General features: G+C 38.3%; 1 long non-coding RNA gene across 1 annotated transcript in view; it reads right to left on the bottom strand.

The window, feature by feature from the left end:
* Window positions 1–18759, bottom strand: part of LOC105378178 (uncharacterized) — an 894025-nt gene that overhangs the window by 636221 nt on the left and 239045 nt on the right. The gene's annotated exons all lie outside the window — the stretch shown is intronic.

Below are 18759 nucleotides of genomic sequence, written 5' to 3' on the forward strand. Positions count from 1 at the left end.
TGTGTTAGACAAAAGGAGCCAGGTCCAAATGAACACAGATTAAATTATTTCATTTTTACACTGTATAAGAACAAGAAAAACTAACCTGTGATTATTGAAATCAGACACTAGTTCTTCCAGGGCTTGGGAATTTGACTAGAAAAGATCATGAAGGAATTTTATGGGTGACAAATTGTTCTATACCTTGAGTGAGAATTACATAGGTGCATAGAATTGTCAAAACTCAACAAATTGTATGCTTAAGATCTGTGCATCTTACTAATGTATATGATACGTCAATAAGAGAAACAAAGGATGAGGAATGTATTTTTTAAAAAAACAGTGTTAGGAAAGATTAACTTATCTGAAAGTGTGCCAGATACAGGACAATAATTATTCTGTAAGGCTTAACAAATGGCTACCATATGTATGCAAAACACTCACGGAGAGGCAAAAAGTAGAACAGTTGCTAACATGAAGAAATTTAAAATATAATGGAAGTTCACAACTGGCACCCTGCCATGTTTGTATGTTCATGAAAGGTCCTCTTCAATTAAAAATATTACCAGTTGAACAGGAAAAGTAGTGGGAACAATACTCATTAGGAGAATCTTGAGTCAAGAGGAGGCCAAACCCAGGCAGGCATCAGTCACAGCCTGGCAGAAGAGGGAGTCAGCCCAGAAGAAAGACTCTTCAGCTTAAGGGTGTTGCATGAAAGCTCCAGATAAGGAGGCAGATTCCTGGCCAGTGTGTGGAAGAGAATTAGAGGATTCAGAGCAGAATGAGAACAGAGAAGCACCTATTCAGCCTTTAAAGAAGAGATCCTGCCATTTGTGACAACTTGGATAAATCTAGATGACATTGTCCTAAGCGAAATAAGCCAGACACAGAAGGGAAAATACTGCATAATTTCATTGATATGTGCAATTAAAAAATCAAATACATAGGAATAGAGTAAAATGGTGATTACCAGGTGAGGGGAATAGGAAGATGTAAATCAAAAGGTACAAAGTCGTAAATATGTGAAATGAATAAGTCTAGAGATATAATGTACAACATAACGATGGATTATTGTTAACAATATAATAATAATACATTATGCATGGGTAATTTGCCAGGAGAATAGATTTTAGGTACAATTACCACCAAAAAGAAAGGTAATTACAAAAGATGATGGGTATGTTATTAATAATTTACTCGACTGTAATAGTCACTTCCCTGTGCATACATAGATCAACATAAGTATATCAAAACATCATGTTGCATACCTTAAATATATACAATAAAAAATGTTTTAAAAGAAAAAGAAAATAGAGAAAAAACAAAAGAGGAGAAGGTTTCTTATCAGAGAGATGGTACCTCCTGGTGAGCTGCGGTCTGCTTCGTCAGAGCCTACATACACCCCTGGTTTTGCTCAATTCTTAACATCCAGAGGGCCAAGACCTCAGCTGCATCTGTAAACTCCTTACCAGTAAGACTGGCCATTTGGAATTTCAAAGCCTTCTCTGGCCATCACCTCTATTTTCCTCCTTATTTCTTTGTTCCAGGTGTCTGTTTTCTCAGTGTTCTTCCTGACTCTAAACTTTCATTACAACTTTCTGGATTCCTCTGCAGTTCTCTGGCCTTGCCTGTCATCTCTCTGATAGTCAGCTCCCGCCACAGAGAGAGGGCTTTTCCACACAGGTGCTCGTCCTTCTATTTATTTATTTATTTATTTATTTATTTATTTATTTATTTATTTTTTGAGACAGAGTTTCGCTCTGTTGCCCAGGCTGAAGTGCAGGATCTCACTGAAAGCTCCATCCCCAGGTTCAAGCCATTCTTCTGCCTCAGCCTCCCGAGTAGCTGGGAATACAGGCACCCGCCACCATGCCCGGCTAATTCTTTGTATTTTTAGTAGAGATTTCACCTTACTAAAGGTGTTTCACCTTACTATTTTTAGTAAAGGTTTCACTTACTTTAGTAGGGGTTTCACCGTGTCAGCCAGGATGGTCTCAATCTCCTGACCTCATGATCTGCCTGCCTCCGCTTCCCAAAGTGCTGGGATTACAGGCGTGAGCCACCGCGCCCAGCCCATCCTTCTCTCTTGACCACTCCTCTGCCTCTCCTGATGGCTGGAAATAGTCAGTCTGCATTAATCTGCTCTCAGCTAGAGCCTGCCTTTTTAAGTATTCTAGGCTCTCTTCAAGCTAAACAACTGTATTTTTCAAAAAGAAAAATTTAATCACAGTTTTGGCCTTTAACTGAGTTTGTCAAACTCATTTTTCTGAGTTTATCAGAAAAATATATGCCTACACTTATTCACTAGAGTTGAAAAATTAGACAATCACAGTCTTGTGCTATTTTTATCTTTTCTTTCCCTCGATTTCTATTTTCAAATATTCTCCTTATTTACCATCTTTACTTGAAGAGTAAAATGCACTAATTGGATACATGGCAGTGAATTTCCTGAAAGACTCAGCAACCTTAGCAGGTGACAGGTCTTCCAGTGCTAGGGACAAACCTCAGCAGTAAGAGAGGCTATTCCTCAGAAGAAACCTTCACCCAGTCAGCCTTCAACGAATCTCAGATAAGCCTAGGAGTACACCCTAAATTTCCTAACTGAGCCTGGAGCAAAGCGTTATTATTCTGCGTGCTCAGTAACAGCCACCGACTGCATCTATGCTACAAAACTAAGCTTGTACCTAATGAGGTGATGTTTTTCTGTATGTTCTACAGACTAAAAGTCTCCAGGTTGTATGCAGATGCTTTCACAGCGGTGTGTGACATGGCCCAGCCATCTCCAGCTTTAAGCTCTTCCTCAATGCAAGATTTGCCCTGTCTCAGTAACCACCAGGAAGCTTTTCTTTGGCCATCCTATTTCACAGAAAACAGAACTGCTTGTTGCCAGTTTTATTTCTTAACAGAGTTCTTCTCCCTCCCAACTTAAAAAAAGAGCATTAAGTCTTCTAATCATACTATTCAAGGGAAAATATTGAGAATTAAAAGGAAGAGGGAAAGGAAAAAAGTTTAAAAAAGGACTTACGATACATGCTGCTTTAAAAAGAGGACGGTAGGCCTCCTTGAGACAGCCAGGTAGGAAGGGCTCCCCGGCAGAACCTCCTAAGTCCTGCGCACTGGGAGGAATGTGCACTGGGGTGGAGCCTTGGGAAATTCACGCTCTTTGCAGGGGGAGGAGCCTGGCCTCTCTCTCCTCTTCCTAAGTATGGTCCCTGGGATTCAATCTGCAAAGCGGGAAGCCTACTAGCAGGACCCTGGCTTTGCGGAGTGCCTGTTTCCCTTTTCTTCCTGGGCGATAAAAAAAGGGATACATCTCATTTTACTCATTTTCCCAATATATCTCATTTTTCTCACCCTTCAAATTGTCTGCAAGCCTAATTTTGGCGGTTGTATGACAAGGACCACATCTTTAGCTGAACTAAGGAAAAGTCCTACAACATCCTTGCAAGACATACTTTTATTAACCTGTTAATGAAGTTGATATGAATGTAATCTGTTAGATTTCTAATCTATTAGATATCTAATCTACTGGGGTCTCACATTCTCCTCCAGATCTTTATTGAAGTTCCCAGAGGTATGTAGGGTATCTGGACACTGAGGACGGCCCATCAGGTTCTTGAGTCATCTGACCAGGCAGTGTCTGCTGAGGCTTCTGTTTCAAGTCTCTGTCATCTTCCTGTGGATCTTCCCTAATGCCTTTGAAATGGCCTTCTCCAGTCTCATGGCTCTCTCTACTAAATCTGTGCATTGCTTTGAGGTATAAAATATCTCCACTGAGGAGAAAGAGAAAAAGGTGAAGTTAAAGGAGAAAAAGCTGAAAAGTTGCCAGTTCTTACTGTCATCAGGGGTCAGGCTTCAGAACATATGTTAACATAGAACTTGTCTAATTAGCAAACTGAATTGCATTGAAAAAAGAAACAGGAAAACTCTGCTACAAAGAGCAAAATTTCATGTGGGTCAATTGGCTTTATCCTTACATACTCTAGAATTAGGAATTCAAACAACTCAACAACAACAAAAGAAAAATAATCCCACTAAAAATGGGCAAAGGACATAGATAGACATTTTTCAAAAGAAGACATACAAATGGCCAACAATATGAAAAACTGCTTAACATCATTAATCGTCAAAGAAATGCAAATGAAAACCACAATGAGATACCATCTTACACCAGTGAGGTGGCTATTACTAAAAACTCAAAAAAATCACAGATATTGGCGAGGATAGGGAGAAAAGGGAAACCTTACACACTGTCGGTGTGAATGTAAATTAGCACAATCTCTATGGGAAACAATACGGAGATTTCTCAAAGAACTAAAAATAGAACTACCATTTGATCCAGCAATCCCACTACTGGGTAACTACTCAAAAGAAAAGAAATTGTTATATTAAAAAGATTCTTATATTCATATGTTTATCACAGCACCATTCCCAATAGCAAATATTTGGAATCAACCTAAGTGTCCATCAACAGATGATTAAACAAAATGTGATATATATATAAATATGTATAATAAAATAAGCAAACTACAGGCTACAGAAAATATTTGAAATATTCAACAATAAAATAATTCCCAGAATATATTTTTAACATTTTATGAATCAATAATAAAAAGACCAAACCAATTTAAATGGTTAAAATATTTGAACAAATACTTCCAAAAGAAGATAGAGGAATGTCCAATAATATTATATATATAATGATATATATAATGATATATATATCATATATATCATTATATATATCATTATATATCATATTATGTTATATAATGATATATCATAATAATTATATATCATATTATGATATATAATTATATATCATAATAATTATATATCATATTATATATGATATATAATGATATATAATATATGATATATAATGATATATATCATATTATGATATATGATACAACAGATCAGAATGAGTGATTTGCTACATGATACAATGATATATGTTACATATATATAAAGAAATGTGGTGTACATTAAAAGAATGAAATCATGTCTTTTGCAGCAGCATATATGGAACTAGAGACCATTATGTTAAGTGAAACAACTCAGAAAGACAAGTATCACATGTTTTCACTTATAAGCGGGAGCTAAATGTATAGACATGGACATAGAGTGTGGATTGATAGACACTGGAGATTCAGAAGGGTGGGGGGACTTGAGGGATGACAAATTACTTTATGGATACAATGTATATTATTTGGGTGATGGTTACACTAAAAGCTCAGACTTCACCACTACTCAATATATCCATATAACAAAACTGCACTTATACAAATTAATTAATTAATTTAAAAAATTAAAACAATATGAGTGAGTCCAAAGCTTGAAAACAATAAACAGCATAAGTAGCAAATCATGAAGACAGAGTTCTTGTGGAAAGTAAACAAGAGAAAAGTGAAGAGAGAGAGGCAGGGCCGCCAAGAATCCTAGCAGGAAAAAAATATGCCCACTCTCCAGCAAGAGCAAATTGGCTAAGATCATGCACAGAAGATTGGTCCTCAAGCCTGGGATCATTTCTAGGATACTAAGCCCTGGTAATTTGCATGGGCTTTCCTCCTCTTCACTCTTACTAACCATGGGTAGAAGCAAAATAAAAGCCACAGGGATTAAACACATCAGAATGAGTGATTTGCTACATGATACAATGTTTTTGGAAGCACAGTAAGAAAGGCCATTGGTAGTTTCATCAAAATAATTCTGGTGCTTTTCACTCACTAAACACTGTGAATGGGAGTTAAATACAGTAGCACATATGTCATACTTATGAGAATTTAAAATAAGAATACACACACAACATCAGCTTGCTACAAAGCTTTGGCTACTTTTTCCTGCAGAAGGCAAGAAATGGCCGGAGCTTCCTTCTGCCAATCATTGCCACCATGTGCGACTATCATAAACCAGCTTTTCTAACACAACTGCATGTACACACTTCCAGATAGCCCTGATAAAAGACTGCCAAAGGCTTAGAGGCTCTTGCTGACCATGGCTCAAATAATTACTTCTCTTTGTCCATTGACCATTTCAGAGTTTGATCCAATTACTGAACAATTTCTGCCCTCATTCAGGAAATTGACAATGCCCATATAATCTCAGACTGAGAGGATATGGGTCTACTCTGCTCTGCAAAGGCCTAACAGGTCTTTAATTCCTTTTTTGGCAGACGATTTTCTGATTAAAAACTTTTGAATTTCTAGTTAAACACTCAGGAAGAATCTTCAGAGAAAGACTGTAATGTATCCAGTGTCATTACCGTGGCCGCTAATCAGCTCATTGTCGGTAGAGTTCCTTTGGGCTCAGTTAGAAGCCTTTTTTTATTTTCTATACAAATGCTCAAGGCCTACGTTTTCATACAGTTAATTTGCATTTTTATAGGGTGAACCCATTTTGTATGCCAGGGAGTCATCTGTGGATTTTGCACTGGATACTTTTTTAAAATGCATTTAACATAATGAAGGATAGATTGCTAGATACTGAAGTATAGAGGTTAGTACAAAATAGTTGAAAACGTGTCTCACCTAGACATAATAAACCGAGAAATAGTATATCTTTCTTTTTGAAAACCAAAATCTATGCAGTTTTAGACAGAATATATATTTATATATGTGTGTGTGGAGAACACACAGACACAATTAGCTCTTTTATAAATGAGTGACTGTAAAATTCAGTAAAAAATAATGAAGTTATACTCTGTATAAAAAAAAATACTAAAGTTGCCAGAATTCTACAGCTGCTGTAGAAGCTCCTAACTGAAGATATTTAAAATTAACAGAAAACATTGTAAGCAGAAATAACACTAATTAAAAACACTTATTAAATCAGCATGGATTATTTTCCAGAAGAAAGAGAGAAAAAGAATGGGAAAGGACTGTGGCTGACGTGAGAGAGCCAGAATCTATGTTTTCAGTGGAATTACAATATGAATTGCAAGGAATGCAAAGCCCTGTCAAGTCAACACAGGAATAGAAAGATAAATAAGACACAGTCCTTGTTCTGGGCTTATGAAAAAAATGGAAAATCACCATAAAGAATTGTCAGTACCATTTTTAGCTTTAGCTTATGTTTCTCACGGCTCTAGCTCCTGGCATGAAAACTCTCAGACCAGTCGTGCCTTGCTATTCAAAAAGTGGCCTGTGGATCCGTAGCATAGGCGACACGTGGAAGTTTATTAAAACTGCAAAGTCTCAGGCCTCACCCCGCGCTACTGAATCAAAATCTGCATTTTAACAAATCCCCAGGTGATTCTTATGCACATTAAAATCTGAGAAGCACTGGTGTAGAGCTCTGTTTGCCCATATTTTTAATTCTGCCAAAGCTCTATTTAAAACCAATTGATTTCCTAATTATAAGTTATATCTCTTTGAAAATATACTTTGATTATGTTCTTTCTTGTTCAAAACGCTTCAGTGGTTTCCCTACTTTCTAACCATAGCCCTCAGGGCACACTACAGTCTGACCCATACTTATCTTTTCCATAGATGAAACACACGTGTACACACACACACACACAAACACACACTAGGAATCTGGTATCACCATCCCCAGACACTCCTTGCATTCATTTTTACCTGGCATCTTTATTCATTTGATCCCCTCTCCCTCAAGCAATGCTTCCTAATTTTGGCTTCCCATTAAAAACTGTTAGGAAAGATATTAAAATCCTGTTGCCCAGATGTCACCCCAGACCAAGTAAATCAAGTCTCTAGAGGTGCAGCACACACATTAGTGTTTTTATAGCTCCCTAGGAAGATTTCAATATACAACCAAGGTTATGAACCAGTGGCATAGAAAATCTTCCCTCCTCACAATTCACATTCTGAAATCCTATCCATTCTTCAAGGCAGAGATCAAATGCAGCCCCCAATCATTCCAACATACTGAAATCTCTTCCTTATAACTCACAGGCACTTTTTAGTCCATGTCTTCTTTTTGCAAACTGCAACATAGTAGATGCTAATTTTATCTTTAATTAAAAGACTGTTAAATCTAAAGTTGCCACTGGATCCCTAGGGAAAGACTGGAGGCAAAAGGTACTCCCATCTCCCACTGATGGCAAACTTGCATGATATGACAGAGCCTAGCAGGGAGTGGGGCTCTGAAGAACACATAAAAATATGACAACTGAAGAGAGAAAAGGGAGAAAGAGGAAATGGGTAGCTAGAGGGCTCCTTCCAGATTCCGGTCTTCCTCCTATCTAGCTCAGTCATGGCAGTGTCACCAGATAACCCAGTTGCCAAAGTCAAGAAGAAACCCTATTCCTCACTCTCATCTTGTTTATTATTCATCTCCCTCCACTAAAATACAAGGTCTGGAAGGCAGAGAGTATTGTTTTTTTATTCACTGATATAATTTCCTATTGACTAGAGAAGTATGTGGCACAGAGAAAGTGTGATACTTAATTTAATATGTCAACTTGACTGGGCCACAGGATGCCCAGACATTAGGCCAAATATTATTCTGGCTGTGTCTGTGAGGATGTTTCTGGATGAGATGAACATTCTAGCCAGTAGACTGAGGAAAGCATAGTGCCCTTCCCAGCATGGGAGGGTCTCATCCATCTGTTGAAGGCCTGGATAAAATAAAAAGACTGAGTAAGGGGGAGTCCACTCTCTTTGTCTAACTGTCTTTAAGCTGGGACATCAGTCTTTTCCCGACTTTGGACTCAGATTTGGACTGGAACTCACATTCCCAGCTCTCCTGCTTCTCAGGCCTTCATACTTAGCCTGGAGTTGTACCATCAGGCCCCTTGGGTCTCCAGCTTGCTGACTGCAGATATTGTGACTTCTTAGCCTCCATAATCATGACAGTCAATTCCTTATAATAAATACTTTCTCTCCCTCTCTGTCTCTCCTCCCCTCCCTCTCTCTGTCTCTCCCTCTCTCGCTCCACGTTCCCCCCACCCATCTATATAACTATATACAACTTATTGGTTATATTTTCCTGGAGAACACTAACACAGAAGATGTTCAATGAATAGTTGTTGAGTGAATGAATGATCTGATGAGCAATTCTTTGCCGTTCCTTAGTTCAAGCTTTCATTGTGTTGTACCTGAATAACTTTTCCTAGCTTAGACACACACACACACACTCAATCCTTTATGCATTTATTCTTGGAAGAAATGCCTTTTCAAACCCCAAATGTGACCACGGTGACCACAATTTCTCTCCAGCTTAAAATTAAGTGCTCATCATCTGCCCCGAATACAGTTTGGTTTCTTAAGCATCCCACATAAAACATTGAGAATTCAACCCCTACCACATATTTAGCCTCATCTTCTATAGTTATCACCCTTCACTTTCCACTTCCATACCAAAAGTTTCTTTCCTGGTGGTTTATCTGATATCCAAGGGCCTCACTCATCTCTGCCCTTGCATATACGGTCTTCACTGTCTAGAATTACTTTCTGCCCTTTGTCCACTTAGAAAACTACTTTTCATCCTTTAAAACGAAGTTCAGTGATAGCTCCTCCAAAAGCCTTTGATTCTTCCAAAATAGGATTTACTACTCATCTCTTTTTGATATTAATCCCGTAGGTTTAAGTTCTCTTTAATTCTACTTTTTTTTTTTTTTCTTAGAGACAGAGTCTGGCTCCGTCACCCAGGCGTGGAGTGCAGTGGCGTGATCTCAGCTCGCTGCAACCTCCGCCTCCCGGGTTCAAGGGATTCTCCTGTCTCAGCCTCGCGGATAGCTGGGACTACAGGCGCCCGCCACCATGCCCAGCTAGTTTTTTGTATTTTTAGTAGAGACAGGGTTTCACCATGTTAGCCAGGATGATCTCCTGACCTCGTGATCCACCCGCCCCGGCCTCCCAAAGTGCTGGGATTACAGGCGTGATCCACCGCGCCCAGCCTAATTTTTTGTACACTTTTATTGGTCGTGTAATTAGGATGCTTTGAGCTACAAAAACCAGAATGCCTACGAGTAGTTTTTAAATGAAAGAGCCATTTAATTATCTCACATATTAAGAGTTCAGGCCATTCTAGGCCACGTGCAGTAGATAAACTAAGCCATGATGGATCCAGGCTTCACTACCATCCTTAGTATGTCTGTGATGTTCCTCCTGTTTAGAGCTGCAAAATGGCCTCTATGGCTCCAGGCATCCTCACTTCACAGGATGGGGTCCTAAGCAAGAAGTAAGGAGTTGGAGCAAAAGGACTTTATTTTTCATCAGGTAAAAAATTAGCTTCAGAATACCAACACAGACTTTCTTTTAGGTATTCTTAGCCAAAATTGGTCATATGCTTGTTTCATAACCGATCTCTGGCAAAGAGACACAGGACATCAATAGATACACCAATCATAATTCATCACCTAGGCCTGGAAAAATTGTCACAATCACAAAACTGAGATCCTATAAACTGAAGCAGAAAAGAGAATGACCACAGGATGAGTAACCAACATTGGTACTACATTAGTCTATATGTCTTTCTCCCCAGCAAGATGCAGTAGGTTTGAGAGCAAGGTCTATATCATTTCACCTTCTAGCCTAAGTCCATAGGACAATGCCTGGCATTGAATGTATGGAATTGAATTCTGAGGCTCATCTAGGAATAAAACCCTAGTTACAATAATTACATAAGCAGCCTAAGGGGAAAGAAAAGCCAAATTTCCCTTTGGCTTTGTTTTCCCATTCATAAAGTAGAGGTAATACCCCTTCACTCCCTAAACTTCACATTAAAAATTTTAGGCTAGATCCAGTCATTGTTTATGATACATAAGAAAACAAAGCATGAAAATACAAATCAAAAATCTAAATACCTATTTTCATGAGCAACACGGAATTGTTGTCAAATGATGAAGATGTGTATATTTACGGGGCACTTGCCTCTGAGAGGCAAACTTTACATACTATGTTAGTTTACAGGGCTGCTGTAACTAAGTACCACATATTGGTGGCTTAAATAATATAAATTTATTGTTTCACAGATCTGGAGGTTAGAAGTTCAAAATCAAGGTACCAACAGGGTTAGTTCCTTCTGAGGGCTGTGAGGGAAAGACCTCTTCTAGGCCTCTCTTCTTGGCTTGTAGTTGGCCATCTTCTCCCTGTGTATCTTCACATCAGCTTCCCTCTGTCCATGTCTCGGTGAACAGTTTCTCTTTTACATAAGGACACCAGTTGTACTGGATTAAGGCCTACCCTAATGACCTCATCTTAACTTGATTACCTCTGTAAAGACCCTATCTCCAAATATGATCACATTCTGAGGTACTGAGGGTTAAAAATTCAACCTATGAAATTTAGGGAGACACAATTCAGCCCATAACATATGCGTTATCCTCCCAGTCATCTTCTGCAATAGATGCTATCATTAGTCTCATTTCAGAGAGAAAGGCATTGTGAATTGGTGAGGCCAAGTAGGTTCTCCAAGGACACTAGGGACTGGTGGAGCAGACTCCCTATCTTATTTATGAACTAACTATAATTTAGGATGGCAGTATTATTTATAAAATATAGATACTAATTTTGAAATACTTGATAACGTCACCTGAAATATTCATTTTAATTACATTTTGAAGACATTATAACCAGGAAATATAAAACTGAAGTAGATAGTTTCCTTGGTGATCATTGAGTCCAGTCACTTCATTTCACACCTGTGGAAACTGAGGCCCAGATATGGAAATGTACTTAGTTAAAGTCAAATAGCCTGTTCAGGGAAAGACAACCAGAATGCAGATGTCAGCCCGGGGTTTTTTCTATACTGTGCCTCTGACTCTCAAAGTACAAAGCAGACCACTGTTAAAGGAGGCTCACTGGCCTGAGAGTTCAGAGACTCAGGAGCTTTTGCTAACTTTGCTACTGAATACATGGAACTGATTACTTATACTGTTACTCATCTAACAAATATTTCTGCGACTCTGTCCTCTACAAAGGAGATATGTCCCAGTTAAAAACATGGGCTTTGGGATCCTACTATTCCGATCCTGATTCTGTCATTTACTAAATGATCTTGGAAAATGGACCAAACTTCCTGCTATTCTAACTCGTCATCTGTTCAGTAGAGATCATCACAGCTCTTGGCTCACAGGGTCATAATGAGAATTAAATGAGTTAATGCATGCAAAGGACGTAATAAGGAGCCTGGCATGCAGTAACATTCAGCACATGTTAGCTCTAAGCTCTTACTCTGTGCTAGGAACTGTGCTAGGCACTGGAGATATAGATGTTAAAGACAAACAGAGGGGAACACAAACCAATAAATAGAAATTGCAATAGACATCAATAAGCACAATGTTAGGCATACTGTGACAGAGTCTGTTACCCAGTTTGGAATAAACTGTGGTATATCACATCACACTCTCGGGTAATTTGGTGGGAAAAGTATCTCTGGTTAAAAATTTTTTATATTTCTCTTAATTCTGAAGGTCAGAGAAAGCTGCTCAAAGCAGTTGTTGCCTAAGCTGTGTCTAGAAGTTAGGGGGGATAAAAGGGAACATTCCAGGTGCAGGAAAGGGAAATCATCAAGGACAGGCAAGGATTTCACTAAGGCCAGATTTTAAGGATGCTTGGCGGTGGTGGATAAGGGGAGGAGTGGTGAAAGATGAGGGTGGAGAAGCCAAGCCAATCCAGATAATGAAAGGCTGAGCCAAGATGTTGGGAATTTAGCCTGAAAAAAAAATAAAAGAAAAGAAAGAAAGAAAAGAAAGGAGAACGTGTAAAGGATTTTAAGCAGAAAAGTAAAACAATCACGTTGCACTTAAACATCTGTTTCTCACACTCTCCATTTCTGTAAAATGACCAAGCGGAACAAAATATCTTAGATTTTAGATATCAGTGGGATTTGTCTTTTCTAGTTCCAAAATTGCCTTTACTTTGTAACAAATCTCTGTAGATCTTAATTCAAAGCAACTTTAGGTTTATTTGGAGATAATGCAAGTGGAATGGTTGGTGGTACATTCTACGACAATCTGTTAGCAGGAAAGCTTAATGTAGTAAAGAAAACCCATTTTAATACTAGACCCTCAAATTGAGAACTACTGTCCTAATTATGAAGCATGGCCTGAGCTATAAACAACGTTACAGATCATCGGCAATAGCTATAGCCATGTGCTTCTGAAAATGAAGTGGTACCCACAACACGTGCACAAAACAGTAATGAGTAAAGGTTAGTGCATAATTAATAAAATCTTGTTTTGCAACAGAATTTGAAAAGCCAGGATAAACAGTTTGGAGTATGAAAAGTCAAAGACTAATGATTAATAGAATGATTAGTATACCTTAAACCTTAAACTGGTTCTCCCCGTGCATGAGTGATAGTCCATCCATTAGTGTTTGCCTAGCTACAAATCTTTGAAAGGAGGACTTGTCTGAATATGAAATATGTCCCTGTTGGGAAAAAATACTAAAGGCTGGAATGACTGCTGTAGTAAACTGACAGTTTGATTCTTTGAGGTATTTTTTAATCTTTTAAATACACATTCTGAAACATCAATCTAGCAGCAACTTTTCTAATTTATTTCAACACCACTTGAACAATAGACAACTTACCTATTTTTCTTAGTGCAACTTAATGTCAATTATATATGCAGGTCATAAGTTTTCACAGTTAAAAGTACATTTAAATTGAGACCAACCCTGCTTTCCAAATTGCTTTCTTAATTAACATTCTACTGATGATGACTGTGTATGCAGTACACAAAATTACACTCCGTTGAATTTAATTTGGTGGAACGTTACAAAAGGCAACACCACCCATATTCCTAAATCAAATACCAGTAAGAGGATGAACCAAGCCATCTTAGTCAAAACTTCAGAGAAAACTGAAATGAATTAAGTTTTGATATAATGGCAAAGACAGGGACTGACAGGTTTCCAACCCTACTCACATTAATTTTGGTAACTAGTATATACCAATCAGGCAAAAGTTACATTCAAACAGCTAACATGGAAAATCCTTGAGGGCAGGTAAAATAGTTTATCCTGATACCCACATCCAAGCACAGGGTCTATTCCAGTGCAGGTGTTCAGAAAGTGTGTTCCAAATTGTTAACAGGAGGATGACTATAGAACCCAACCCATCATTTCTGTTTTGCAGCATGTCTTTTCTTTTCAATGAGAAACACTACCTTGTGAACCACTGGAGTATTTCTAAAACAAGTATTGTTTACTTCCCTCTCCAAGGAGCTTCAGACATGCTGACTAGATTTATCACCACAATAAAACAGAATAATTTTAGGCCAGAAGTTCTGATTCTTCTATATTTTATGAGTCTCTCATTGATATTTTTTATTTTACTGGATTATATTGCCCTGAATGGCAGGAGCCACATTTTTGTACCCATTGTTTTAATCACCCCCATAGTGCCTAATACAGAGACTTAAGCAGGCAAGGAAATGCTGTGCAAATGAATTTTTAAAAATCAATCAATCTAAGTCATTCTTTCTTCCTGTTCCCACACTTCCAGGTCATCATTTTACACATAAGAAGATTGAGGATTTGAGAAAGTAACTTAATTGTTCAGGGAGACATAGCCAATTACTGGCAGAGTTTCTAAATCAAGCTGCTGTCCTTGTACTGCTATTTCAGTAAGAGAAAATTGTAAAAGAAACACACTAAGAAAGAAAAGCTTATTGATACTGAAAGTTGTAAGCAATGTGCTACAAGAGGAAAGTCAAGCCATTACAAATGTAACAACAACATTGTAATTTGGTCAAGGCATAGAAACAATTTGCTATGGCTCTTAACCTCAGTCCCCAGCTTCAATTTATTAGAGTTAACATTCACCAACTGCATGTTACATGCCAGGCCCTGTGACACCAAATAAGTGTTATACATAGATTATTGTGTTTATTTTTCAAAGCAAGACTTCAAAATGAATATCATTATCCACATTTTTATATACGAAAAAACAAGAGTCTAAATGGTTTACTTCAGATCACCAAGCTAAAATGGAGTGAATCCAGGATTTAAACTCAGATCCATCCATCCCAAAGACCCTTCTCTTTCCATTATACATTTTGGCTTCTTGCCAACAAAAATTAATACAAATATTTTAAGGATTTTCCAATATCATTTGAAATTGTCTACTAAAGATATCACTTTTATCACTGAAAGTATGCATTGTGCATTTCCCCTTACTGTACCTACCTCTACAGCTTCCTCTGCATTGGGAGAGGGGAAGGCAGGAAGAGCATTCCAAGAGTCCACTTTCTCATATGGTTCCGGGTTACAGTTGCCAGTGTGGAGCCGTTGTTGTAAAAGCTGGAAGCTGGGAAATGGGGAGAAGTCATTCTTCCCTGGAGGCAGACACATAGCAGAAAGCACAGGCAAGATTCATGGCAGCTTCCTGGCTGGTGGAAGGCAGCTGCGATTGTGGGAAGCAGTTCCTTGAGAATGGTTGCTTCAGCACCCAAGGCTGAGATGGTAGCAGGCACTTCATAGGGTTCCTTCAGATTTGCAGAAGCTTCCACCTGGAGAACCACTAGTTTTGAAACCACATCATTGTTGGCTTCCTGGATCTTTGCCTCTCCAGTCTTTCTGATCTCCTGTTAAGCCTGCAATTCCCTGGAATAAAGCCTCCATAGTTGGAATTACATAAATGGTTTATGTTTTCCTGGAGAATCCTGGCTAATACAACTACCTAGGTCAATTTCAAAAATATCCAAGTAAAATAAAATAAAATAAATTTACTTATCAAAATACTAACCATTTCCCTTGATCTCCCACAAAACAAAGCATCAAAAATTTTGTAAGTAAAATGTTTTTTTCTTTAGAAATTGCAATTTTTCTTTGTGGGCCCTAATATGAGTTGGTAAATGAAGCTGTAGAGTCTTCCTTGTTGAGATTTTTTTAGATTAAGACAACCATCTGCTTTGATATCTCAGGGTATTTTTTTCCTTGAATCAGGGTTTGTACAAGAAGAGTTTGTTAAGATGTCTACTAATACGACCATTTTAAAATTTCCTCTGGCTGGTGACATAAAAACCACAATACCACATAACACTGAATTAAAATATATATATACACACACATACTTTATGTATCTATATATTTTAATTGCTAAGAACATTCTTAGGGGAAAACATCTGTTATGCCAATATAAAACATTTTAAATGAACACAATCTGGCTGTTTTAATTCCAAAATTAAAACTGCCAAATTTATAATTTGATGGTGGACTGTCTCTGAATTCTTAATTGTTCCTATTTTCTTCCAAAGCCACTAGATGGTGGTTCCATCATGGAAACCCTCATAGTCATGGAAAATGTCTCCATATTTATTATAGCATTATTGGAATATACACTGTAAAGGAAGAATCTATTTCTAAAAGAAATAAAGACACAGTAAAAAGATCTGAGAAAAAGCTAGGGTGAACAAGTTATTTGGAAATTTCTATCATTTTCACTGATGTGTGCCTTCCAGATCCTGGGCTAATTTGTATGTCAGCTCCCCACTCTGTATCAAATGCTTCTGAATGTGCAAAACTGAAATTTTAATGGAGTAGATTTTTCAAGAAAGTTTGAAGCAAGGTCTCTCTCACAGGTAGCTTTAGATAAGCTACTATATACTGGAGTTAAGAGACTTTTTTTAAAAAGTTTATTAATACTGAGCTAAAAATGTGGCATAGTTCAGCCAAGGGGGGCACTGGAACTTGTACAATGATCAGCAAAAGATGATGACAGAGAAACATAAGTAAAAGCCAAAACATGAAAGGATTCTGTACCATACTAAGGAATACAAATGTTATTCTATGGACACCAGAGAGCCATTGAAGGTTTTAAGGAAACTAATCAGATCTGACTTGAATTTTAGAAAGTTCATGTTGGTGGTACTAAGGAAAATATATCAAGGAGAAGAATTAGTAATCTGTTTCTTTGTTTCCTTGAATCCTTATTCATTGATGCCTCTTTTTTTGCTCAGCCCTTAATTCCTAAGGTTATATGGAGCTCTGGTCTCAGAGATCTTCCCTTGCACATGGCCTTAAACTCCGTAAAGATTGCAAAAGGTAATGTGAAAAATAATTAAGGTAGCTGAGGAAGGGTGGGAGATTATTTGATGCCTGTTTCTGTAAGGTGAATCAGCTTTGTATCACTCGGGCACCCTGGAAGAAACAGATGGCACATTCAGAAGGGCTTAACTGAAGAAATTTGTAATGAAGGCACTATTTACAGTGGCATTGGGCATGGTTAAGGAAACCACCAAGAGAATGGTGAAGCAACAGGGGGCTAGCAATAGCAAGAGAGAACATACCACATTCTTGTTGACAGTGAAAACTGGAGAAAGGAAAAGGTGCCACTTAGCAAAAGTTATGACCACAAAAGAATGGTGACCCCCAGAATTGCTACAAGGCAGGGAGAGAGGAAGGGGAATACATGCCCTGGCCTCTCTTTTTTCTTGTTCTCTGATATCCAACCAGTTCCTCTGACTGGCTGAACATTAAGGACCACAGGTGGTGCAGACCACAGAGGTCAGCCTTCCAATGCACACAGCAGAGACAAGACAAGCAGAAAATAGACCTGGGGAGTGGGGGAGCCAAATAGAGAATAATAAGCGCAAATTCATTCACTATCAGAACATGAGAGAACGATGTCAGTATAACACAGAAGTCACGCTGGTAGGTACACACATTTATGCTTTGCATCATACAGTACTAGAGGCTAAATATACAGAAAACATGGAGTGGTCAAACCCATCAGCACAACAGAATTTATTCAAAAAAAAAGAGAGAGAAATCATCAGAGATCAGTGCTTTACATAACACCAATACTTAAAGGGTGAGTACAAGGAAAGGAACTCATCTTGAAGGCTTGAGAGAAACAGATTGAGGAATCCAAAGACAAGGTTCTGAAGGTGGTGTGAGTAGCCAGAGGCTACTTTATATAGTTATATAGCTTTAACTTTTAGTTTCAGTTATTCGAGAAACCTCAACTCCAGTGACAAGGAGCAATTTAAAATCTGAGTGAGGGTGCAAACTTGAGCCCACAGCTGGTGTGGAGAGCATGCCACTTAGCAGGGAGCATCCACTTCTTTAAGTGGCTTCACCTTCTTCTACTTATTGTCAAGGACACATTAACTCTCGTTAAGAGTATGAATCAGGAAATTCTTAAGCTGCAATCTCTTGCAAGTTATGATGACATTATCCGTTATGGTGATATTCAAGAATCTAGAATGCATAAATATTCTTGAGATATATTTCCACCCAAGTGTCAGGGACCTACGATACCATAGAGGTAACAAGTAAAATAAGTGTTGAAACTTTATGAAGTTTATTTGGAATCACTGGAAACTTTGACAAAGGAATGTCCTGAAATATTGATGTGAAGACCAGTGAAGGTGGGTTGCAGAAACGAGGAACAAGAGCCAGATTGTAGCTGGTTATGGAATGAATGGGAGGTGAGAAAGTTAGGCGGCGAATGTAGAGTAAGGTTTGAGGGGGAGTGACCCAGCTATCACTTCTGGGTAGAGAAAGCTTTATCAGAGTCTGACTAATGAGGAAGAAAAATGTGTAGGATAGAAGGAACTTACTAGAGACCTCTTCCTGATCTTGGAGATCTCTGTAATTAAAGAATTTGAAAGTTAGGATGTCGCATGGAGTAAAGGTGGGAGGGCCAGTGGGGCTGCATGTGCTCAGATTTCAGGTCCATGTGAGTATGAAACCTGTTTTTATTAACTATTGAATCACCAGAGGCTAACTCAGCTCCTGTAGAATAGATACTTTGTTATTTTGTTAAATGAGATGAAGAAAAAGAGAATGATCAAAGGTAGAGGCCAGCTCACTCCATGAAGGACCTCAGCCATGGGGTGGATCAGCCCGTGGGAGAGACCGA

This window comes from Homo sapiens, chromosome 14, assembly GCF_000001405.40.
Source record: "Homo sapiens chromosome 14, GRCh38.p14 Primary Assembly".
Taxonomy (NCBI): domain Eukaryota; kingdom Metazoa; phylum Chordata; class Mammalia; order Primates; family Hominidae; genus Homo; species Homo sapiens.